This window comes from Homo sapiens, chromosome 16 (assembly GCF_000001405.40).
Source record: "Homo sapiens chromosome 16, GRCh38.p14 Primary Assembly".
Classification (NCBI taxonomy): Eukaryota; Metazoa; Chordata; class Mammalia; order Primates; family Hominidae; genus Homo; species Homo sapiens.
In genome coordinates this window covers 28,747,849-28,773,270 of record NC_000016.10, presented here as the reverse complement: position 1 = coordinate 28,773,270, position 25,422 = coordinate 28,747,849, and the positions used below count along the sequence as shown (strand labels likewise).

Genomic DNA, 25,422 nt, shown 5'->3' with positions numbered 1-25,422 from the left:
CATCAGATAATAAACAGTGTAAATGTTTATCAGAAAGAGGCTGGTGGTCGGGACCAGTAGGAGGATCGCTTGAGTCCAGGAGTGCATCTCTACAAAAAAGTTAAAGGATTTTTTAACATTGGCCAGGCGTGGTGGCACACATACATCTGTGATCCCAGCTACTTGGGAGGCTGAGGCAGGAGGATTGCTTGAAGCCCAGGAGGTTGAGGCTGCAGTGAGCTGTGATCGAGCCACTGCACTCCAGCCTGGGTGACAGAGCAAAACCCAGTCTCAAAAAATAATAATAATAATAATAATATTTTACATAACCAACCACTTCTAAAGATTAAAAAAAAAACCCTACAATTAATTAAAAACCTCAGGTCCCTCAGGCAATCATACCAGATATTGAAACAAAGCAATAACATAAGGACTGCAGTATTTATTTTATTTTTATATTATTTATTTATTCTTCGTTAGTTTGTTTTTGGAGCGTGGGTTTTGTTTTGTTTTTTGATTTTTTTCTTTTTTTCGACCTACGGATTTATTCTTATTGCCCAGGCTTGAGTGCAATGGCGTGTTCTCAGCTTACTCAACCTCCGCCTCTTGGGTTTGGGTAATTGTTGTGCCTCGGCCTCCCTCTGCCTCTTGGGCTTGGGCGATTGTTCCACCTCATCCACCCTCCACCTCTTGGGTTTGGGTGGTTTTTCCACCTCGGCCTCCTGAGTAGCTAAGGGAGGAGTCTTGAGATTATCATCCACTGAGGGTGGAAGAGGAGAGGGTGGAAGCGGGACAAAGAGACATTCCTTCAGATTATCATCCACTGAGGGTGGAAGAGGAGAGGGTGGAAGCGGGACAAAGAGACATTCCTTCAGATTATCATCCACTGAGGGTGGAAGAGGAGAGGGTGGAAGAGGAGCAAGAGGACACTCCTTGATATTATCATCCACTGAGGGTGGAAGGGGAGTGAGCAGACACTCAGGAGGTGTCTTGAGGCTCAGGGAGTTATCAGTTATAGAATGTTGTTGAGTTGGAGGAGGTGGCTGGCGGCCCATCCTGTTTTTTAAAGTTTCAGCTGTGAGGTAGAGCCAGTAGGGCAATCCTGAAGAATGACGATGCTCCGCTGCCGCCATTCTGACCTGTAGGGCCAAAGGAGGGAATGTTTTCACACATATTCATTTGATGGACAAAATTACCACCACCAACACAGTCTGCACCTTCTGTTGCTGGTGATAGATTTTTGCACCTTTCCATCCTCCAGGTTTCAAAATAGCAGTATCAGTGTCATAATATCACCCTTCCACTGAGTACTGCCGACAGCTGGAGGGTAAAGGAAAGTCATTGGGACACACTGTTGTCTCCACATGCCACTGTGTCTGTCTGCAAATGTAGGCAGGCTGGGGTCCTGCCCCAGGGAAGACAGAGTCATAACAGAGTAATAAAGAAGCATGTTTGAGACACAGGAGTGTCTATGTCTATCCTCATTCCTCCCTCACAGCCATCACCAGAGCATGTTTCTTGCACCAGGTCAACAGACAGTAAGAGACAGTAAGAGAGGCATGAAAAGCCCATTGTCCACACATGTTGCAGCTTCTTTTTGGAGAATGTTTTCCAGGCCTTTTATGTTCTGTCTCTGACTCTCAGAACTCTGCAAGGTCAGTGTGACCACCCTGCTCCAAATCTAAGAAAACAGAGGTTTCCAGAGGAAGGAGAAATTGTGCCCAGGGTCACACAGCTTGCAAGAGGCAGAGTGGAAGTTGATTCCAGCTCTGCCTGAAGGACCCTCTCATTTCCCCTCTGTTTCCCTTCTTGACAAAGGATCTTCTTCACTCTGGAGGTGCCACCCATGAGAACAAAGAGCTCTGGAGAGATGTGGATTCCTGAAGAGCTGCAGGGGAACTGGGAGAGGGTTTTCTGACAGAACAATCTCACCTCAAGAAGTCACTTAGGCATGGCTGTAATATTTCTTTTCACTCCCAGGTAATACCAAATTGTAAGTGCACTAGGACATAAAGAATACTTTTGTCCATGGAAAAATGAGGTGGAAATTCTAAACAAAGCAAGTTTTAAAACTGTGTTTCACTTCAAGTGTACAAGTCCCATCACGTGTAATCATAGGACTCGGCAGCTTTTGAAGGTACAGAGGCCACACAAGAACCAGCTTAGCTGAGCATCATTTAAGGCCTTCATTTGGAATTGTCCCTGTGGGTAATAAGTTACATTCACTCTTCACTAATTTACAGTCAGGGCCCATTTGCTATTACAAATATGGAACCTCTGACACTTTGAATTTAGATCAGGGGCCCCACTGGGTGGGGATGAAGGTGTTTTTGCACAACACGGTTACCAACAGGGATGGGACTGTGATGCCTGTAGGCAGCCTTCCTCTCTGCCATCTCCCTCTGCAGGGCTTGAGCACAGAGCTGTAGGGAGAAAAATGTATCCATGTCCTGACCTGGCAGACTATGTTCAAAAGCAAGGAAAACAAACAAACTTACCCAGTTGCAAAGAGGCTTTCTTGCAGAAGGGGGGATCTGAAAAAGCCAACACATGAGAAATTGAATGTTGAGAGAGTCTAAGAGCCGTGGCATCATCTGCATCAGCACTGAACTATCCTGCAACTGCGGGGAGGAAGCTCCTTACTTTGCATTTGTGGTAGTCCTCTGCCCGCCGCCGCAACTCTTGCGCACGTTGAAACATTTTCCTATGGATTACAATCACTTTCATCAGATAAAGCACCACGTTCAGGATGATTTTAAATAATCTGCCATGTTTCTGTTATCCTCACAACTGTACCCTTACACAATCTATCTCTACCTAGAAAACGTATTTCAGATGGCTATAAGAGTACAGTCTGAGCCGGTCACGGTGGCTGATGCCTGTAGTCCCAGCACTCTGGGAGGGCGAGGCGGATGGATCACGAGGTCAGGAGATTGAGACCATCCTGGCTAATACGGTGAAACCCCGTCTCTACTAAAAATACAAAAGATTAGCCGGGCGTGGTGGCAGGCACCTGTAATCCCAGCTACTCGGGAGGCTGAGGCAGGGGAATCACTTGAACCTGGGAGGCGGAGGTTGCAGTGAGCCAAGATCACGTCATTGCACTCCAGCCTGGGTGACACAGCGAGACTCCATCTCAGAAAAACAAAAACAAAAACAAAAACAAAAAAACTGTACGGTCTGATCCAAACTGTTGCTGTATTGATTCCTCCTCTTGCTTACTGCCTGTTGACTTCTGAGATGATAGTTTCCTTCCCCATTCTCAGTATATCCCTAATTCATCCTTCATTGAGCATCTTTTATCATAAAGCTGTATTCTCTTTGTATTAATATCCTTACCGTGTTTCACAGGGCAGAAACAGCTGGGCTTATAAACAGGCATAGTCCTTTTGAAGGATGTGGTTGATCCTACAACAACACACTTTCCTAAGGATGACAACAACTCACCCCACCCCTAGAATGGCTGGTATGAACCGAGTTTCCACACAGTCTAGCTGGCAATGGGGTCAGGAGCCGTTTTGCTACTTCACATCTTTTGGTCACTGGTAAATATTAAGGTACTTTGTTTTCTGTTTTGTGAACTCTCTCTCGCTCTCTCTCACGATATGTCTTCTGACCGTTTGTTTCTATTTCTGCATTTACCGGGTCTAAACATTGTACAGAGGTTAAAAACAGCACTCCAATGGGCGTTTCCCAGGAGGGTGGGGTTCAGTTTCTGAACTCACTTGTAGGTGTGTATTTCTTTCATATCCAATTTCCCATTTTCCTCTGCCTCTGATACCTGCCTCTCCTTTTCTGCGTGCTCACATTCTTTCATGCTTAGTTTCCTCAGGTTAGAAGGGAGAGAAATGCACACACATGATCCACCAGTCCATGTGGGATTCCCTCTGCCCTTCTGGCATCTGAAGGCTGTGATTCAAAGATCCCCCCTGCAACCTTCCCACAAATGAACCAACTGATTCTCACAACCGAAGGGAGAATGGACACCTCCCATTGAGGGACCAAAAAAAATCACACTCTGGCCTGCTGGCAAGTCACCTGTCATTTCCAGCTCATCTTCATAGTTCCATAGTTAGTCCTATTCTTTAGTAAATATAAAGACTATTAAAAGCTTCTATGAGGTGCACTATGTGTGTCTCTGGGGTCAGTCTTGTGCTTGACACAGCGAAAGATCATTTTAGTTCAGTGTGAAAAACCAGACCTCACCAACTCATCACAACTAACTCCATCGGAAGCAGAGGATTGCTCCTCATCTGACTCTTCCTGTGTGAGACCTGCTTCTCAGTCAGAGGCTGATGCCGGAACTGAGACCATCAGCCATAGAGAGATCCTTCCAGAATATGGTGTCATTAACCCCGCAGTTCACTACTGCACTTTGCCATGATTCAGGACTGGAACTCTTGTCATCGACTTTAAAGATCCTGGTTGAGAGAAAAGGCAATCTGAATGCTGGGCGCATCTATTGAATTAGAAATGATCGGAATGGCTCCTAAGTCAGGGTGTTATGTCCTGAAAATAGGTGACAACGGCAAACCATCCACCCTGGTGTTGACTGACTTTAACAAGGTTCACTTCACGGACATTGAGGGCAGAAAAAGGAAATGGCCTAAAAAGGGTAAGTTTGCTGTGTTGCCCTCACACCACTTGATTCATGGTCCTGATCCTAAGGATCTCACCTGATACTTGGTTTTATAGGAAGGATGTGTAAAATTCCCAGAACGCTAGGAAACAGGGGCGAAAACACTTCAAAGAGAAAGTTAATGAACTTGTTTCTGACCACAGGGCATCCTTCAGCACATGCTGTCTGGAGTGGCCTCCAACAAGGAGTGTGTGGTGTGGTGCTGAGAATGCAATGGGAGCAGGGTCCTGTCCCCACGGTAAAGAAGCTCACAGCTTAATGCAAATGAGAAGCCAGTGAGGACATCACTACTCCTGCTGTCCACTTGGGAACTAGAAACACAAAACCTGACTCTGGAGGGAAGCTAAGGAAGCATTCTACTCTTGAGTTGACATAAGTGCATCTGAAGCTTCTGATCTCCGATGAGAACAATGGGGGACACCAAACAGAATATAAAACCCATGATTGAATACATCAAATTGCTAACATGGCAGTAAACAGACATGAGGTGAAGATGGAGAAGAAGGAAACCCAGGACGAAAGTCAGCCTCGCATTTGGAACCCATTTCCCTGAGTTTCATTGCTGAATTCCAGAAGGAACTACTGAGATGCAAAGAAGCACAGCAGCTTTTGCACACATGCGTGGGATTAGATGGAAAACAAGTGGATTGAGGGTCTGCCAATGAAAGCGACCCGTACTGAAGTCCACTGGCTCTGGTTGAGACCCAGAAGAGTCATGCATCAGAATAGAGGTGGACAGGAAATACCCTGGCCTTTGTAGGGACTGAGCCTGCACCGACGACCTCAATTGCAGCCTGTATGGAGGACCCGTGACCATCCCCCAGAAGTAGACTCCCATCTCTTCTGCAGCAAGATAACATGCCACTAGGCCTCAATTCATTGCTAAATATTTTTTAACGAGTATCTCACATTTAACAAAAAGAGATCAGTCATATGGCAGCAAAATACAATGTAATATGACCAAAACATGAAAGACTGTGAAAATGAATCTGGAGGTGACCCAAGCATTGAATTCAACAATCCAGGCTGGGTGCGGTGGCTCACACTGGGAGGCTGAGGTAGGCAGATCACCTGAGGTCAGGAGTTCAAGACTAGCCTGGCCAACATGGTGAACCCCTGTCTCTACTAAAAATACAAAAATTGGGCCGGGCACGGTGGCTCACGCCTGTAATCCCAGCACATTGGGAGGCCGAGGTGTGTGGATCATGATGTCCAGAGTTCTAGACCAGCTTGGCCAATATGGTCTAGAACTACTCTACTAAGTCTATGCCTCTACTAAGAATACAAAAATTATCCGGGCATGGTGGCATATGCCTGTAGTCCCAGCTACTCAAGAGGCTGAGGGATAAGAATCACTTGAACCTGGGAAGCAGAGGTTGCAGTGAGCCAAGATCATGCCACTGCACTCTAGCCTGGGTGACAGAGTGAGACTCTGTCTCAAAAAAAAAAAAAAAAAAATTGGCCGAATGTGGTGGCACACACCTGTAATCCAAGCTACTCAGGAAGCTGAGGCAGAATTGCTTCAAACTGGGAGGCAGAGGTTGCAGTGAGCCAAGATTGCACCATACCACTCCAGCCTGGGCGACAGAGCGAGATTCTATCTCAAAATTAAAAAAAAAAAAAAAAAGCCTGGGTGTGGTGGCTCACACCTCTAATCCCAGCACTTTGGGAGGCTGAGGCAGGTGGATTACCTGAGGTCAGAAGTTCGAGACCAGCCTGGACAACATGGTGAAACCCCATCTCTAGTAAAAATACAAAAATTAGCTGGGCGTGGTGGTGGGCACCTGTAATCCCAGCTACTTGGGAGGCTGAGGCAGGAGAATTGCTTGAAGCCAAAAGGCAGTGAGCTGAGATTGTGCCATTGCACTACAGCCTGGGCAACAACAGCAAAGCTCCATCTCAGGAAAAAAAAAAAAAAAGAGAGAAAGGAAAACCAATGCCAGTACTAGCAACTCCTCTTCCCCCGAAAAAATTACAAACAAGAATGTAGGAAGGGAAAGGAATTATACAGCTTAAACTAATGAAGCAGAAAGGACAAACTCAATTTTGAGCCCACTGAATTTGCCACAAATATTGTAGAAAATATTCTCAAGGAATTTACAGTTGTCTACTTTGATTGGCACATGGTTCATACAACAGTATTTGTGTCAAGGCACATCTTACTGTTTTCTGGCGGTCTTCCTCTTTCCATTGATTTTGTCATGACGGTTGATTTTCGTTGTCACCTTCCTCTTACGGATTTTAGCTCTAACTTTTGTTTCCACATGCCTCCGTAGAGTAATGACGTCTTTCAGGCCAATTTTATTTCCTCGAAAGGAAGAAACTCTTTTCTTTGTGTGCATACAAATGGACCTCAGCCCTTGGTGAGAGTGAGGAGAGGAGAAGGTGAGAAACCTGAGGTCAAGAAGCTGTTCTTTCCCTTTCCAGGGCAAACTCATTTCCACACTATGGGGACTCCAACAGAGCCATACCTTTCTGTCTACTGCGGTTGGACCTCCAGGCTCTCTGCTGTACATCCATGGATCCATCATGTCCATTTCGAGACCAGAAGATAGTCTTCAGGAAAGACACCTAGGAAATAATAATATAAGAATGACGGCTGGGCACGGTGGCTCATGCGTATAAATAATCCCAGTACTTTGGGAGGCCGAGGCAGGTGGATCACGGGGTCAGGAGTTCAAGACCAGCCTGGCCAAGATGGTGAAACCCTGTCTCTACTAAAAATACAAAAATTAACCAGGCATGGCAGCGGGCGCCTGTAATCCAAGCTACTCGGGAGGCTGAGGCAGAGAACCATTTGAAGCTGGGAGGCGGAGGTTGCAGTGAGCCGAGATCACACCACTGTACTCCAGCCTGAGCGACAGAATGAGACTCTGTCACACACACACACACACACACACACACACACACACACACACACACACACACACAAGAATGACATGAGGCTGGCACGGTGGCTCACTCCTGTAATCCCAGCACTTTGGGAGGCCGAGGCAGGCGGATCACCTGAGGTCGGGAGTTTGAGACCAGCCTCACCAACATGGAGAAACGCTGTCTCTGCTAAAAATACAAAATTAGCCAGGCATGGTGGTGCATGCCTGTAGTCCCAGCTAGTCAGGAGGCTGAGGCAGGAGAATCACTTGAACCCAGCAGGAAAAGGTTGTGGTGAGCTGAGATTGTGCCATTGCACTCCAAACCTGGGCAACAAAATTGAAACTCTGTCTCAAAAAAAAAAAAAAAAAAAAAAAATAGCCCAGGTGCGGTAGCTCACGCCTATAATCCCAGCACTTTGGGAGGCTGAGGCGGGTGAATCACAAGGTCAAGAGATGGAGACCATCCTGGGCAACATGGTGAAACCCCGTCTCTACTAAAAATACAAAAATTAGCTGAGCATGGTGATGCACGCCTGTAGTCCCAGCTACTCGGGAGGCTGAGGCAGGAGAACTGCTTGAACCCAGGAGGCAGAGGTTGCAGTGAGCCAAGATCCCACCACTGCACTCCAGCCTGGTGACAGAGTGAGACTCCGTCTCAAAAAAAAAAAAAAAAAAAAATGACATGAATATACTTCACACAACTGAACTGTACACTTCAACACGGTTAGATGGTAATTATCATCTTATAAGTATTTTACCACAGGTTAACATGTTTCACAACTTGAAAAGGAAGTAATTACCTTCAGCTCTCTGAGTTCTAGAATTTGTAACATTTCACCCCCTGCTCCTTCCTGATCTGCACTGGAGCATCTTCCTTCTGTCCCTGCTCTACTCAGAGTTCACTTTCCCTTCCCTCACATCAGCTTCATTGAGGCTGGTTTGAACTTAACGCAAAACATTCTCACTAATGACTGAATTCCCACCAAGATTTCCATATTATCACAGTATGCTTTTAATCTTCTAAGATATTAAATATTTGTTCTCATCATAGCGAAAATGCAATGCAAATCCCATCTCAGATGTGGGTCAGATACCTATGAATCTCCTGAGGTAGTCATTGAAATGACTTTTTTCTTGAGATGGAGTGTCACTCTCAACCATGCTGAAGTGCAGTGGCACTACCTTGGCTCACGGCAACCTCCACCTCCCAGATTCAAGCGATTCTTGTGCCTCGGCCTCCCAAGTAGCTGGGATTACAGGTGCCTGCTACCATGCCTGGCTAATTTTTGTCTTTTTAGTAGAGATGGGGTTTCACCATGTTGGCCCATCTGGTCTTGAACTCCTGACCTCAAGTCATCCACCTGCCTCAGCCTCCCAAAGTGCTGGGATTACAGGCATGAGCCACCACACCTGGCCTGAAATAATATCTTTCAAATTCTTTGTAGAATTTGTTTTTTCCTGATTTCTGCACATAGGATAAAAAAAAAAATCATGTACTAGGATTTCGAGAGAAGCAATGGGTAATCTAAAAAGATGAAAAGAGCAACCACGTCAATCCCACAGCTACTACTAGATTTCACAGGAAAGGTAGCTGGCCCAGTTTGGAGCTAGGAGAAATGTCAAACACATGAAGAAATGACAAGCAAAGAAATGCCATCACGCATGAATGCTTCATGGCACCCATGATGTCCCTGCTTAGGAGGTAATGGTATAGATGACTAGATGACAAGGACAAAGATGAGAGGTGCGAAGTTGTCCAAGTCCAGCAGCTCAACTGAACTTTCCTAAATGGAACTGTTAAAAAGTGGTAAGTTTAAAAACTTCCCCTGGCTCACGTGGTGGCTCACGCTTGTAATCCCAGCACTTTGGGAGGCTGAGGCGGGTGGATCATTTGAGGTCGGGTTTTGAGACTAGCCTGGCCAACATGGTAAAACCCCGACTCTACTAAAAATACAAAAATTTGCTGGGCATGGTGGTGGGCACCTGTAATCCCAGCTACTTGAGAGGCTGAGGCAGGGGAATCGCTTGAAGCCAGGAGGTGGAGGTTGCAGTGAGCCGAGATCACACCATTATACTCCAGCCTGGGCAACAGAGGGAGACTCGTCTCGGGGGTGAGAAAAGGAAAAAAAAAAAAAAAAGCTTCCTCCAATTTATACCAAAAATTCTCTGTTCAGGACTAAGTGGCATAGAGAATGTTAAATGTGCCTAGATATCTTCATAACTCATATATTTTCTGTTTTCTACATATCTTGAAAGGCAGTGCCAAATGACGTGTAATTATCTAGGTGGTAAAACTGAAACATACTTCCTCTTCCCTTGAATATAAAAAAGCATTGTGGTATTAGTACTTTTATCTTGGATCATTGTTCAGAAGGAGGTTCAGCCCCCAGACAACCACATTTTTACTGTCATGAATGGCAAGACAAAATGTAGAGCTCAACTTACCCAAAGGAAAAAAGGCTCAAAAGACAAATTATGGCACAACTTAGCAGCCAAATTCTTACCAAGTACAGACTTTTGACATACTGATCTCTCTCCAGTTGCAAGTGGGAACATGCACTTTGAATGATGTCATTCAAAATTACCCTGCCCAGACACACTTTTCATTGATTCTCTTGGAGGGCAGTTCTAAGAGATTCTCTGGGGCTTTCTCTGCATCATGAGACGCAGTGCAGTTCTGCCCTTCACCTTCCGGCAGTTTGTCACCTCGTCCCTATGACCTCAGAGGAACTTTGTCTCAGGCCAATTGTTTGTTCCTTGGCCTCTTTCATTTCCCCTAAAAATCATTTGCTGCCCCTCTAAATGGCCTACATCTCCATCTATCTCCCTCTCCCCTCAGAAGAGGGTGCTCTTTAAGCATCAACCATCCGGCCCTTCTAGCAGTCTCATTTTTCAGCTGGTTCCCATGTTTATGCCTGTTCTATGTGTTTCTTTTCCTGTTAAGCTGTCTGTTGTCAGCTCATTTCTGCAGTGAATCTTCAGAGAGGAGATTGGAAGCTTTCCTTCCACCCATACGATAGAACTATAAAGCAGAAGAGTTTAGAAAGAATTTCCTATTTAAGTGACGAAACCTCATACTCCATTTGTGATAAATAGCACAAAGGCTAAAAAAACTTATTTTTGACCAAAAGCTCTGTTGACATTCTATTAAACAAACACCGACCTATTTAATTTTCATAATGTAAATGGCAGACATTTTCATAATTCTTATGCTAATAAATCATTTCCCTGATTTTTTGGGTAAAACCACATATTCATAATGAAGTCCAGAAACGTGAATTGTTTTATATAATTTATTCTTATTTGTGATTACAAGTATACCTCTACAGAAAGTTAGTATACTCACACAAAGGCAACTTGTGCAGAAGAGAATGTTAAATGTGTAACGTCTCAGAAACCCAATAATGATAATTATCAAATTATCCAATTTTTGTGGAGATGGGGTTTTGCCATGTTGGCCAGGGTGGTCTCGAACTCCTACACCAAAGTCAGTCTCACGATGACGATAGACAGCCAGACTATTGATAACCTGGAATAATAATAGTTGAAATAATGAAAAGGTCAATGACACCGACAATATTTCACTCAGAAAGAATCATCCTTAGAAACCGTCAACCTCCTCCAAAAGGTAACCACATCCCTCAGATATCACCGTGGGATTCCACTGCTACAAAAAAGAACAGAAGTTAGAAGTCTCATGTTTTTCAGATGGCTGGTAGTGTTTTTAGGCATTGCAAATGTGGGGTGTTGTCTTTCTTGGTATAAAGCAGGGATATCCAATCTTTTCACTTCCCTGCCTATATTAAAAGAAACAAAGTTGTCTTGAGCCACACATAACATACACTAACACTAACAATAGCTGATGATCTAAAAAAAAAACTCTTTTTTTTTTTTTTTTGGAGACAGAGTTCCGCTCCACTCAGTCGCCCAGGCTGGAGTGCAGTGGTGCAATCTCGGCTCACTGCAACCTCCAGCTCCTGGGCTCAAGCCATTCTCCTCCCTCAGCCTCCCGAGTAGCTGAGATTACAGGTCTCTGCCACCATGCCTGACTCATTTTTGTATTTTTAGTAGAGATGAGGTTTCACCATGTTGGCCAGTCTGGCCTTGAACTCCTGGCAGGCGATCTACCTGCCTCGGCCTCCCAAAGTGCTGGGATTACAGGTGTGAGCCACCGTGCCCAGCCATTTTTTTTTGTTTTTGTTTTTGTTTGGTGTTTTGTTTTTGAGATGGGGTCTCACTCTGTCACCCAGGCTGGAGTGCAGTGGCGTGCTCTCGGCTCACTGCAACCTCGGCCTCTCAGGTTCAAGTGATTCTCCTGCCTCAGCCTCCTGAGTAGCTGGGAGTACAGGTGCCTGACAATGCACTCAGCAAATTTTTGTATTTTTTGTGGAGATGGGGTTTTGCCATGTTGGCCAGGGTGGTCTCGAACTCCTGACCTCAGGTAATCTGCCCGCCTCAGCCTCCCAAAGTGCTGGGATTACAGGCATGAGCCACTGTACCTGGCCAAAATCTCCTAATGTTTTAAGAAAGTTTACAAATTTGTGTTGAACTGCATTCAAAACTGTCCTGGGCCACATGCAGCCCGTCACTCATGGCTAAGACAAGCTAAGTATAAAGTAATTATCTTTTCTTTTTGTTTGGAGACAAAGTCTTGCTCTGTCACCCAGGCTAGATTGCAGTGGCATGATCTCAGCTCACTGCAACCTCCGCCTCCCGGGTTCAAGCGATTCTCCTGCCTCAGCTACTGAGTAACTGGGATTACAGGCGCCTGCCACCGCACTCGGCTAATTTTTGTATTTTGAGTAGAAACAGGGTTTCACCATCTTGGCCAGGCTGGTCTCCAACTCGTGACCTCTTGATCCACCTGCCTCGGCCTCCCAAAGTGCTGGGAATACAGGTGTGAGCCACTGCACCTGGCCAGTAGTTATCTTTTCTTTAAAGTTATTTACTTGTTTTTTAAATTGATGTATAACATTGGATGCATTTATTATATATCACATGGTAAAAGAATCCCTCTAAATAATACTTCTCTCTTGGATTATATGAATCTTTGTCATTTGAAGCTCAGCATAAGTAAAAAAAAAAAAAATACAATGAAGAGATTACTTCATTCACAAATAAGTGTCAAATTTTAGTGCTTAAAAATTAACAAGGTGGGCTGGGCGTGGTGGCTCACGCCTGCAATCTCAGCACTTTGGGAAGCCGAGGTGGGTGGACCACGAGATCAGGAGATTGAGACCATCCTAGCTAACACGGTGAAACCCATCTCTACTAAAATTACAAAAAATTAGCAGGGCATGGTGGCACGTGCCTATAGTTCCAGCTACTTGGGAGGCTGAGGCAGAAGAATCACTTGAACCCGGGAGGCAGAGGTTGCAGTGAGCCGAGATCGCACCACTGCACTTCAGCCTGGGTGACAGAGCGAGACTCTGTCTCAAAAAAAAAAAAAAAAAAAAAAAAAAAAATTACCAAGGTGGAGATCATGAAAATGGCATGAATAGTGTGGGATTTCTCTAAGATTGTTGATATTAATTCCAGTAGACTCTTATGTGAGTGAAGACGAAGACTTCCCCTGAGTAAGTTCAGACAGCTTGTGATAACATTTCTACGTCGATTCCTCAGGATTTAACTATATATTCTTGAAAACATCTCAATTTTAAATGTTTCTTTCAAGATGGTGAATTAAACAGAGATAGCCCTTCAACAGGTTGAACTCAGCATATGCTGAGTCTGAAATGGAAATGATGGAGTTAGAGAACCATACAACAATGGTAATGATTTCAGAAACATGGTGTTGAGCAGAATAAAGCAGACACAAAAGAGTACCTATGGCATGGCACGCATCTGTATACGCGAAATTCCAGAATAAGCAAGCTAACCTATGATAAGAAAGAGACTGGCTGGGAAGAGTGAGAGTTCACTTTCTGGGGTGACATAATAGTGTAGATCTTGGCTGGGCACGGTGGTTCACGCCTGTAATCCCAACACTTTGGGAGGCCGAGGCGGGCGGATCACCTGAGGTCGGGAGTTCAAAACCAGCCTGACCAACATGGAGAAACCCTATCTCTACTAAAAATACAAAATTAGCTGGGAGTGGTGGCACATGTCTGTAATCCCAGCCACCCGGGAGGCTGAGGCAGGAGAATCGCTCGAACCTGGGAAGCAGAGGTTGCGGTGAGCTGATATTGCCCCATTGCACTCCAGCCTGGGCAACAAGGGAGAAACTGTCTCAAATAAATAAATAAATAAATAAAATAATGTAGATCTTGAAAGGGGGTCGGTTTATGCTGGTGTAAGTACTTTCCAAAGTTAGTAAACTTACACTTAAGGTTATATATTTTGGCCAGGCGCGGTGGCTCACGCCTGTAATCCCAGCACTGGGAGGCCGAGGCAGGCGGATCACGAGGTCAAGAGATGGAGACTATCCTGGCGAACATGGTGAAACCCCGTCTCTACTAAAAATACAAAAATTAGCCAGGCGTTGTAATCTGAGCTACTCAGGAGGCTGAGGCAGGACAATTGCTTGAACCCCGGAAGCGGAGGTTGCAGTGAGCCGAGATCTTGCCACTGCACTCCAGCCTGGGCGACAGAGTGAGACTCTGTCTAAAAAAAAAAAAAAAAAAAAGTCATCAAACCAGATGACACAAATCAAATGACATTTCACTTTGTTTTGGTCCATTTTGTTTGTTAGAGACAAGAGTGCAGCGGGGCCATCTCGGCTCACTGCAACGTCCAGCTCCTCGGCCCAAGCGATCCTCCCACCTCAGCCTCTCCAGTAACTGGGATAACAGGTACGCACCACCAGGCCCGACTAATCTTTTTTGGAATTTTTTGTAGAGATGGGGTTTCGCCATGATGCCCTGGCTAGTCTTCAACTCCTGGACTCAAGTGATCTGCCCACCTCGGCCCCCTAAAGTGCTGGGATTACAAGGCCTGAGCTGTGTAATTTCATGCCGCGTGACACAGCCCAGTAAAAAGGAAGAAACCCCGCGGGTCCAGCGTCTACTCACAGGGGTGGGCTGATGGCTGATAAATCCCAGCAGGAGCCAAATGAGGAGCCAAAAGCGCAGCCGCATGTCATGATCCTTTCAGGGTGCCCTGAGGCGGCCAGGACAGAGGTGGAGGTGGCTTAGGGCAGGGGGGAGGGAAGGGGACGGGGACCGGGGCCGGATCTGAGTTGGGGAGGGGCAGGGGAGGGGGAGGGGAAGGGGAGGGGGAGGGGAAGGGGAGGGGGAGGGGAAGGGGAAGGGGAGGGGAAGGGGGGAAGTAAGGGAAGGGAAAGGAGAAGGGGGCTGTTGGGCACCTGGAGGAGGTGGAGGAGGAGGAGGAGAAGAAGAAAGGGGTCTGGGAAAGGATCCGGTTCAAATTAAGTTCTCAAGCGCTGGTGGAAGGTTTAGCTACAGGTCACGGAGAAGATCAGGGAAGCAACAGGACACGCGGGGCAAGGGAGCGTGAGGCTTAGGAGCAATTAGAGGGAGACAAAAAGGTTCTGCTATCCGCCAAACCTTCTTCGGTCTGGGCCCTCCCTTAGCAAACCTGGGGCTTTATACTCCCTCTCCACCAATCCCTGATGACCCCGGTGGTGCCTCACAATGGACAATGCCAAGTAGCGCCCGCATCATTCCAATGACCCCTCCCCCATCTCAGTCTCCCACACTCCTCGCAAGGACAGGTCCTCTCTGGAACCTTCACAAACCTGATTTCTGGTCCTCCCCAACCAGCTCCCTGTCCCTGCTTCTGGGCGCTCCTTCCTTCCTGAGCTCCCAGGGTTCCTCAAGGTCACTTTTGGTGACAAAACATAAAAAACAAATGATGGCAGGATGGCAGGAAGAACCTCATACCCAAGCAGAGTGCCAGGTTTTACAGCCTCCGCTCAGCCATTCATATCCTAAGCAACAAAACATCAGCAGGATGCGGAAGGTCCCGATAGTAAACCATCTCCATCACATCCATGTAGCCATCCGTCCATCAACCTGTATCTCAGGAACAAATGTAGATACATTCATTTTAAGCATGCATGGTACATTTACAAAAATTAACCTGACTTATTTTGTTCCAGCAAATCTCAATATATTTGAGAGCAATCAAATCACACAGCACGTTTCTGATCATATAACTGTGCTAGAAGTCAATGATTAAAAGCTAATTCAAAATTATTATTTGCTTGGAAATTCAAAGTGCCCTTATAAGACATAAACATAAGAAAGAATCCAAAATGAAACAAGATTGCCTTTCAACTCAATGATAAGATCATAACATGGCAATAAAATGTCTCCCTCTGGCCTGGGAATTCCTCTTTGTGGCACAAGGTTGTGTGATCTCAAATCACCCCTAACCCACCTAGACATTTTAACATCCGAAACCGAGTGATGATGTCCTTATCTATAATCATCTTACTGCCTGTGTGTGTGGACTTTAAATTCTGAACCCAAATGAGGGGGAGAAAACCAAGTTGACCTTCATGATTGACCTCTCAGGGATGTCCAAGGAATCTGTGCATTTCAAGAAACAAAGTTCAGCAGCTTCTCTCCTAAGGTATTTGCCCACAATACCCAGAGGGCTTGGCAGCATCATGTGTGATGGGTGGGGAGCTCCAAGCAGGTGGGCAGGACGCAGGGGTCTGGTGACCAGGACAGACCCCCACTGTCCATCACCTTTCCTGGCCCTGTCCTCAGCTAAACTTCCCACAGGCCTTCTGCCTGATCACACAGAGTGTGCCCAAACTCACTCAGGCCTCTGGGAGCTGAAAACCACTGCTTTAAATCCCTTTACCATTTACTATGACATAAGGTTATTGTAAACAGGAAATATTCTATTGATGCTACAAATGGAAAGCCAATGCCTTTACCATAAATAGAAAAACAACCCTAAGAAACAAGCAAAACAAAAACAAAACAGGGGCTGGGTGTGGTGGCTCACGCCTGTAATCCCAGCACTTTGGGAGGCCGAGGTCGGCGGATCACAAGGTCAGGAGTTCCAGACCAGCCTGGCCAATATGGTGAAACCCTGTCTCTAATAAAATATAAAAATTAGCCGGGTGTGGTGGTGGGCGCCTTAGTCCCACCTACTTGGGAGGCTGAGGCAGGAGAATAGTTTGAACCCGGGAGGCAGAGTCTGCAGTGAGCCGAGATTGCACCACTGCACTCCAGACTAGGCGACAGAGAGAGACTCTTGTCTCAAAAACAGCAACAACTACAAACAAACAAAAAACAGGGTTAACAAAACTATGGAATTCAATTCTATTTATATGCTGCAGCCATGTTCCAGCCCTAGATTTGGCTGGGCATGGTGGCTCACGCCTGTAATCCCAGCACTTTGGGAGGCTGAGGCAGGCGGATCACGAGGTTAGAAGTTCGAGACCAGCCTGACCAACATGGTGAAACCCTGTCTCTACTAAAAATACAAAAATTAGCCAGGCATGGTGGCACCCGCCTGTAATCCCAGCTACTCAGGAGGCTGAGGCAGGACAATCCCTTGGACCCGGGAGGCGGAGGTTGCAGTGAGCCGAGATCGTACCATTGCACTCCAGCCTGGGTGACAGAATGGAATGAGACTCTGTCTCAAAAAGAAAAAAAAAAAAAAAAAGCCCTAGATTTCGGTTGTGTTGGTTGTAAAAGGAGAGACCAAGTAAGTGGGGGTTGAAGTCAGATTAGACCAAAAGTGAATGGCAGAGAGTACTATAATGTCCATGAAGGGTTGCTAGAGTCACCGTGATCATAGCCCAAGCAGAGACAGGGAAAGGAAGATGTGAGCAGAGTTTGGGGTCTCGAACAATGGAGGTTATTCGTGCAGCCCAGGAAAGGCTCCCCAAAGCCAGGATCAACCTCCCTTGCAGGCGGTCCCTCATGGAGGCATGGCCAGGCACCTTAGATTTGAGACCAGCTATGTTGCTGCTGACCAGCTGTGTGACCCTGGGCTGGTTTCCTTCCATACAATGGGAGTGCCAATGGCTGCATGAATGCAAAGACCGTCTGAGGATAGGAGGAAGCAATCTGTTGAGCACCCGTGTACCTGAGTGTCATCACCTCCCAAGGGCATCTTTCGTTCCAGAGCTGGCACCTTGGAAGGCCCTTGGTCACTGAAGGCAGTGATGATGGTAACAGCAGTAAATCATCATTTACGGCTGATGAGGGAAGGCCAGGGGTAGGGCTCCTAGGTCCTGGATAAGAATGAGGGTCTGGGCACTCCTGGGGACAGCTGAGTGGTAGGACTCCTGGGTCCCCAGGGTGCAGGTCCATCTTCAGTGGCATTGGGCCTAGGCTGGGATGCTGAGTTATCCACTGGAGCATCAGCAGTACAGGCAGGCACAGAGGCAGTGGATCCATTGGAGGTGGCAGGTGTAGGATCATCTGGTGAGCAAGTAGAGTCACCAAGCCTGGCTGACCACTACCCCCACTATCCCCACAGACGATGCCCTGTCCCTTGCCTCATGCTCCGGCAGGGTACAGGCTCGCACCTGGGGCCTCATGGAGCATCTCTCTAAGACCTCTGTGTCCTGGTCATTGAATGGGCACTTGAGTCACCCAGGGCCATTGGAACAAAGAGGAAGAATCAGGCCCCACGCTGTTTTGGGAGAGTGTTTAGCACAGGAAAATGCACAGAATACATGCACGACACGGGGGCACTGTCAGTGTGGGAGCAATAGTTTACAACCTCCAGCCCTAATCTGAGCACTCTCACCTGTGCAATCTGAAAGGAACAGGAGACTTGCAGGAAAGACAGTGCCTGGATTTAACTTAAAGGAACTAAAAATGTTGGAATTTTTACTCTTGATATCCTTCCAAATCAACTCTCTCAATGTTCCCATCCTCAAAACTATCATATGGGGTAACTGAGGCAGTCAGAGATTTACTGACTCAATGTCACTCAATTGATTCTGAGTTCACTGCTGATTACATCCGACCAAACTGCTTTTTCTGAAGTCTACTCTGTTTCATCATGTTGGTGATGATTTTGTGCAGCTCTGGGACAAACTCCACCTGGCTGAGGATAAAGCAAATCTGCGGTGACTTAGTCCTCCTGTCATTTCCCATCAGTTCCCCACTCTCCTCCTCTGCCCCTCCACAGTCTCCCATGCAGGCTGACACCATATGACAGCCTTAATGGAGTCCACCGAGTATTTCAGGTTCTCTCTTGGGCCACTTGAAAGTGGATGTACCCATGGGATTTGCTTTGACCCAAGAGATGTGAGTGGAAGTGAAGCGTGTCACCTCGAGGCAAAAGAGTTGGGAGCCATTGAGACTGGCCACCCTCTCCTTCATCTCTTAGAGCAGCTGACAGCTCCCATATGGAGGCTGCTCCTTTATTCTCGTGGCAGGATGAGGGCATGTGGGGCACAGGGCACAGGAGAGCCATGGAGGATGTGCAGCATGGGCAGGAAAAGAGCCTTCAGTGGTGTACATTTCCATCGTTTGGGGCTGTTTCTTACCTACAGTGATACCTAGCCCATCCTAGCAGGCATGCACCATCTACCCCACACTCTGTGATGCAGACTAGCCTGCCGTCAGAACAGGAACTGGTGGTCAGACACACGTAGGTTTCAGTTCCAGCTCTGCCTCTTATTGACTGTAACCTCAGGCTTAACTTTCAGTCTCTGAGCCTCAGTTTCAACTCTGTAAAATGAGGTGGCTATACCATCTCAGGTTGCAGAGAGAATTAAATGAAATATAAGTGCATGTAGAGCATTGAACCCAGGGCCTGGCACACACAGTCAGTACTCAATGTTAGCCATGTAGCTTCATGATGCATACTGATTGTCAATATTCAGACAATCCAGTAAAGTATTACCAAAAATAAAAGTAAACTTATTTGCATATGTATTCTTTCAATCTTTATTTTTAAACAGGGTAAAACTATGCATATTCTTTCATAGCCAGTGTTTTTCTCTTCATAGTATATTGTTAAAATAATTTTATCTTGGACCGGGTGCAGCGGCTCACACCTATAGTCCCAGCACTTTGGGAGGCCACGGTGGGCAGATTACGAGGTCAGGAGTTGACACGAGCCTGGCCAATATGGTGAAACCCCATCTCTACTAAGAATACAAAAATTAGCTGGGCATGATGGTGCACACCTGTAGTCCCAGCTACTCAGAGGCTGAGGCAGAGGAATTGCTTGAACCCGGGAGACAGAGGTTGCAGTGAGCCAAGGTTGTGCCACTGCACTCCAGCCTGGGCGACAGAGTGAAACTCTGTCTCTCTCTCTATATGTGTGTGTGTGTGTGTGTGTGTGTGTGTGTGTGTGTGTGTATGTATGTGTGTGTGTGTGTGTGTATCTATATAAATCTCAAAAATAAAAGATCATTTTTGAGATTATCATTTTAAAAGACAAGATAATGTTCAACTTAATGACTAATTTAATTATTACCATTGGACTTTTTGTAGACTGCACAGAGCATTCAAAACAAATGAAGGAGAATAAAAAATATGTATTACATGTAGTAAAATAAATGTGATGTGGTTAATTCTTTTATTCAAAATTATAGAACATATATATGTACTATAGAATGTATTTCTTATTATGAGTCATGTTAAAAAGTAGTTTAGAAGCTGTTGATTTGAATTTCCTTTTCAAATTTTGCAGGATAATTTTTTTTTTTTTTTGACAGAGTCTCGCTCTGTCGCACAGTCTGGAGTGCAATGGCATGATCTCGGCCCACTAAAACCTCCACCTCCTGAATCTAAGCAATTCTCCTGTCTCAGCCTCCTGAGTAGCTGGGACTACAGGCTCACACCACCATGCCCGGCTAATTTTTGTATTTTTAGTAGGGACGAGATTTTGCCATATTGGTCAGGCTGGTCTTGAAGTCCTGGCCTCAGGTGATCCACCAGCCTCAGCCTCCCAAAATGCTGGGATTACAGGCATGAGTCACCATGCCCAGCCTAAACTTGGCAAGATAATAAATAAACTTTTTAAGTGTCGTTGGGCACTTGTCTGGTTGTTTTTCTTTAGGTTACCATGCCAGCAATGATTCCTTTTGAGTTTCTGACAGAAGATAGTGGTTTTCATCCAAATAAGTCAACTACTCTACCCCATCCCTAAGCCACTTGTATGGAAAGAAAAAGAGGAAGAAGCCAGTACTGTGACTGCGTAAGCTTCCCCCAGCATCACCCGCTATGAGATGTGTGGCAGCTGAGACCCGGGAACTGCTCAAGGGCACCAGGCCCCATCTGTCTGCACTCACTCACCTTCCTCAGGTACTCGCATGGGCATGTCACTGACTTTACATGCTGCTGCAGCTCCTTGGTGAACTGGCTCTGGTCATGCGACAGGAACTGTGGGGTCAGGACAATAGAGAGCTTCACCATTTGCAGAATGAGAACAGGGGCTCATCATGAGTGCCAACCTATTAGATAATTTAAAAAAAAAGTGTTGAATGAGTGGAAAAACAAGGTGATGTTTGAGTCTATAGTGGTCAAGGGCTTCAGAAAAGGACAGAACCAAGTTCAAATTCCTGTACTTTGAATTTCTACTTCATGCCATGCAAAATTACTTTACCCCTTTTAACCTCAGTTTTCTTCTGTGTGAAACAGGAACAATAGTTTCATTCGTCATTCAGTTTCTCTCAAGGTTTCACGAGATCATACCTATAAAACATCCAAGTCATTTAAATGTATCATCATTTCTGTCATAATTAGTGGGATCCATTTCACTATTATTGGATATACAGTTCTGTGCCTGAAACCTACAAAAAAAGAAAATGTTAAGTCTAAAAAGCATTAGTGATTTCTCATTTTTATATTACTAATTATAACCCTATTTAATCACACAAGGCCTTGTCCGTGGCAGGTGCTCAATAAACACTTGTCGAATCAATGCATGTGGGCTCCGGAGCCACACTGTTTAGATTCTATTCTGCCTCCACCACTTATCAGCTGTGTGATCTGGGTAAGACAATTCACCTCTTTATGTCTGCACTTCCCTCTCCATAAACTATATATAATGAGAATCCTTAGCTCATTCGGTTGTGGTGAGGGGTGAATGATTTGGCACACAATCCCAGCTACTCGGGAGGCTGAGGCATGAGAATTGCTTGAACCTGGGAGGCAGAGGTTGCAGTGAGCCAAAATTGTGCCACTGCACTCCAGCCTGGGCGACAGACTGAGACTGTGTCTCAGAAATAAAAATAAAAATAAACAAAAATCAATGAACTAAAAACCAATTTCTAGTGGTTTCTAATAAGGAAAAAATGGTTCAAAAAACTGCTAAGCGAGATCAAGCAAAACAAAAAAATCTATTACGATAATGTTTTTATAACTGGTATTTAAAACATTGTTGATTCATTCTTTATTTTTATTTTGAGACAGAGTCTCACTCTGTCACCCAGGCTGGAGTGCAGTGGCAGGATCTCCGCTCAGTTCAAGCAATTCTCCTGCCTCACCCTCCCGAGTAGCTGGGATTACAGGCGCCCGCCACCACGCCCAGCTAGTTTTTGTATTTGTAGCAGAGACCGGGGTTTCACCATGTTGGCCAGGCTGGTCTCCAACTCTCGATTTCAGGTGATCACCCCCTGCCTGGGCCTCCCAAAGTGCTGGGATTACAGGCTTGAGCCGCCGCGCCCGGCCCTTGTTTTGTTTTCTAGATTGAAGAAAGGTTTTTCTCAGAAGTTATCTAGAATTTACACCGATTTGGTAAAGCACACTTTTGTGAACAAAGGTGGGTGGAAGCGTTTGTTTTTCCTCCCTATCTGATCCTTCTAAAGTTTGGAAACTATTCATAAATATTCTTATTTTCATGTACATATGTTCTCTTTATAAGCAGGCTACAATCAGAAAGATTGGTTATATTATCAAGGCTTTGACTGAAACATCCTATTTAAGAATATGCAGAAAATTCCTGGCTTCGAGTTTGCAGCCTTACGTTACAGTCAGGGGGAAACTGTCACTCCCTGCAGGCCTGAGAACCTTAGAGCTTTTCGGGGAGCAACTTGGCAAGGGGGGGTCCCAGCAGCTGCTCGCGGGCCAGGAACCATGGGGCACAGCCCCGGGCGACCCTCGGGCCGGCGGGGGCCTTCCGCTTCCTGGCGTCTTTCTTCCCCGCCCCGCCGGCTGCTGGGGAAGCGGCGGGCGCCCAGTGCCTGGAGGTCGCTCCCTCGCCTCCTCTGGCTGCGGGAACGGAGAGGCGGCGGCGGCCGGAGCAGGGTGGGCGGCCTGAGCCGAGAGCCCGGCCGGCCCCCGCGAGGAATATGGCGACCTGCGGCGACCGGAGCAGCAGCGGCGTCAGTTGCTGCACCGCCGACTTCTTGGAGCAGCGAAAGCGACTCGCGAGAAGACGCCGCCAAGTGGAACCCGGGCCCTGCGGCCCTGGGAGGGGGCAGCAGCGACACAGCCATGAAGCCCCGGGCGCGGCGCTGGGCGCCAACGAGAGCCACGGCAACCTCCAGACGGCGCCACAGCAACCTCTAGGCAGTGCCCACACCAGCCTACAGGTGGCGCCCCTCGCACTGCACCTGCCGCGGCCGCCCCGGGTGTGAACTGCGCTGTCAGCAGGGCCGCGCTGACACGGGTGGCCCAGGCCCGCAGCAGCCGAGGAGCCCAGGGGCACTGCCCGGGGTGACGAGAAGGAGAAGACGGTGCCCCAGAAAAAGGCAAGAGCTCAGAGCTCGGGTCCCCGTGCCAGGAATGGCCAGGAGCAGAAGATGGAGAGGTGGAGATGGAGAAGGAGAAGCAGCAGGTGGGAAGGAGCGGCGCTCCACCGGTGGGGTCAACATGCGCTGGCTGAGCTTAGAGTATGAAGAGGATGAAGCAAGTCAGAAAGAGCGGAAACGAGAAGGTGCAATGACACAGCAGAGCACAATGCAGAATCCAGCCCTAGGACTCCAATAAAGGCTGGGTTTAATTCCAACTCACACCCTCCCACCCCTAATCAGAGAGGATCACAGGAGAGAGAGGACCCAAGGAACACTGGAACCTGAAGGACAGGAATCTGAGGCCAAGACTGATTGCTGGAAATTGTGGGAATCAGGAAAGGAGAAACTGAGGCAGAATGGGGGGATGGAGGGTGGTGGTGGGGGGCAGTGAGCTGGGTTAGGAAGGATTAGAAATCAGAACCCTAGGAAGGATCCAGAAAGGAACTGTCCTTAAGAAGGTGCATGCTGCGGCTGGGTACTGTGGCTCACGCCTGTAATCCCAGCACCTTGGGAGGCCGAGGCGGGCAGATCACCTGAGGTCAGGAGTTCGAGACCAGCCTGGCCAACATGGCGAAACCCCATCTCTACTAAAAATACAAAAATTAGCCAGGAGTGGTGGTGTGCACCCGTAATCCCAGCTACTTGGGAGGCTGAGGCAGGGAGAATTGCTTGAACCTGGGAGGTGGGAGTTGCAGTGAGCTGAGATCGTGCCACTCCATTGCAGCCTGGGCAACAAGAATGAGATTCTGTTTCAAAAAAAAAAAAAAAAAAAAGAAGAAGGTGCATGCTGGGGATGAAGGAATGGGTTCTAAGACTCAGGGAGTGAGGGAAGGGGAGGGACAGGGGTTGGGGGTGCAGTGGGGTGCTAATGCAGCACCCAAACAGAAGAAGACTGGAGGAAAGCAGGGCCCTTCTCCTCCAACTCCAGCTGCTCCTCTGAGTCCCAGGCCACCTGCTCCTGTGTCTGCCGACCTACTGGCCTATCTCTGAATCCTGCTGGAATGCCATTCCTCCTGATCTCTGCCCTGCCTCAGACCTTTCACTAACACCACCACCCCTACTGCCCAGGGCCCACCACCCCCACTGTCCCCGACCATAGCCTGCCCCTATCCAGAAGCCCCTGCTTCCAGCCACATGCCCTAGGTGACCTAAAGGGGACCTGGACATGCAGGGGAAGAGGGTGCTCTTCTGGTTCCTCCTGCTTAGGTATCCCAGTCTCGCAATCATGAGTGTGAGTAAATGTTGGATATGACACAGATTCTATTTCTCAAGCTGTTTCACACTGTGGTTTACCTAACAGTGTTTTGTGGGGTCATCGATGGGGATTTGGTTCTCCCTGCAGACCAAGGACCTCAGCGCAGATTTCTTGAGCAGCCTAGAGAGGCTCTGGCCTCACCTGGCCACATCAAGTTCTGGGTCCTGCCTGCCCTGCTTGGCCCAAACACAGCAAGGGTGACAGGAGGGAAACGGGAAAATGGTGACTTTATAATATTGGAAAGGAAGGATTTCATGGCCCAGTGGAACACAACAGAGAACCCAGAAATAAATCCATGCATTTACAGCCAGCTCATTTTGCACCGAGGCACCAAAAACATACCATGGGGAAACAGATGGTGTCTTCAATAAGTGGTGCTGGGAAAATGAGATATATCTATGTGTGAAGAATAAAACTAGACCCCTGTGCTTCACCATATATAAAAATCAAATTGAAATTAATTAAAAACTTATATGTAAGAAACTACAGGCTGGGCACTGTGGCTCACACCTGTAATCCCAGCCCAGGCCGAGGCGGGAGGATTGCCCGAGCTCAGGCGTTCGAGACCAGCCTGGCCAACATGGCGAAACCCCGTCTCTACTAAAAATACAAAAATTAGCCAGGCGTGGTAGCGCACACCTGTAATCCCAGCTACTAGGGAGGGAGGCGGAAGAATTGCTTGAACCCAAGGGGTGGAGGTTGCAGTGAGCTGAGATTGCACCACTGCACTCCAGCCTGGGTGACAGAGTGAGACTCCATCTCAAAAAAAAAAAAAGAAAAGAAAAGAAAAGAAACTATGAAAATATTAGTAGAAAACATTGGGGAAATGCTTTATAACACTTGTCTAGGCAAAGATTTCTTGAGTAAGACTTCAAAAACACAGACAACCAAAGCAAAAATTGATAAATAGAATTACATCAAGCTAAAAAGCTTCTGCACAGAAAAAAAATTTGTTTAATTAAAATTAAAAATAAACAAAGTAGACCAGGCACGGTAGCTCATGCCTGTAATCCCAGCACTTTGGGAGGCCAAGGCGGGCAGATCACTT

The 25,422-nt window shown here is 46.9% G+C and overlaps 2 protein-coding genes and 1 pseudogene across 13 annotated transcripts, besides 1 other annotated feature; 1 reads left to right on the top strand and 2 right to left on the bottom strand.

Moving 5' to 3' along the window:
- Nucleotides 1-406: 406 nt before the first annotated feature.
- NPIPB9 (nuclear pore complex interacting protein family member B9) lies at nucleotides 407-21,484 on the bottom strand. 12 transcript variants are annotated; one of them, XM_017022825.3, is made up of 9 exons: nucleotides 20,679-20,765; nucleotides 15,188-15,464; nucleotides 14,502-14,589; nucleotides 10,838-11,020; nucleotides 7,090-7,189; nucleotides 6,782-6,977; nucleotides 2,623-2,683; nucleotides 2,478-2,513; nucleotides 410-1,118 (listed from the first exon to the last, which is right to left on the bottom strand). In XM_017022825.3, the coding sequence occupies exons 3-9, from the start codon at nucleotides 14,565-14,567 to the stop codon at nucleotides 516-518; spliced, it is 1,245 nt and encodes a 414-aa protein (XP_016878314.1). In that variant the 5' UTR covers nucleotides 14,568-14,589; nucleotides 15,188-15,464; nucleotides 20,679-20,765; the 3' UTR covers nucleotides 410-515. The 12 variants fall into 12 exon arrangements, 11 of the variants coding, with proteins under 11 accessions (NP_001274179.1, XP_016878314.1, XP_011543995.1 ...); NR_176858.1 differs by lacking the exon at nucleotides 14,502-14,589 and having other exon boundaries at nucleotides 407-1,118; nucleotides 15,188-15,273; nucleotides 20,679-21,484; XM_011545693.4 differs by lacking the exon at nucleotides 14,502-14,589 and having other exon boundaries at nucleotides 15,188-15,274; nucleotides 20,679-20,798.
- Nucleotides 13,745-14,245: an enhancer, noted in NCBI's record as "H3K4me1 hESC enhancer chr16:28770347-28770847 (GRCh37/hg19 assembly coordinates)". NCBI's record gives its function as "activates a minimal SCP1, AML or CMV promoter by ChIP-STARR-seq in naive H9 embryonic stem cells {active_cell/tissue: H9 hESC(naive)}" and the evidence as "EXISTENCE:reporter gene assay evidence [ECO:0000049][PMID:30033119]".
- Nucleotides 20,988-24,216, bottom strand: LOC124903761 (uncharacterized). The gene is made up of 3 exons (XM_047435035.1): nucleotides 24,156-24,216; nucleotides 22,351-23,084; nucleotides 20,988-21,077 (listed from the first exon to the last, which is right to left on the bottom strand). The coding sequence occupies exons 1-2, from the start codon at nucleotides 24,214-24,216 to the stop codon at nucleotides 22,396-22,398; spliced, it is 750 nt and encodes a 249-aa protein (XP_047290991.1). The 3' UTR covers nucleotides 20,988-21,077; nucleotides 22,351-22,395.
- On the top strand, nucleotides 22,676-23,309 carry PAWRP2 (pro-apoptotic WT1 regulator pseudogene 2; annotated as a pseudogene).
- Nucleotides 24,217-25,422: the final 1,206 nt, after the last annotated feature.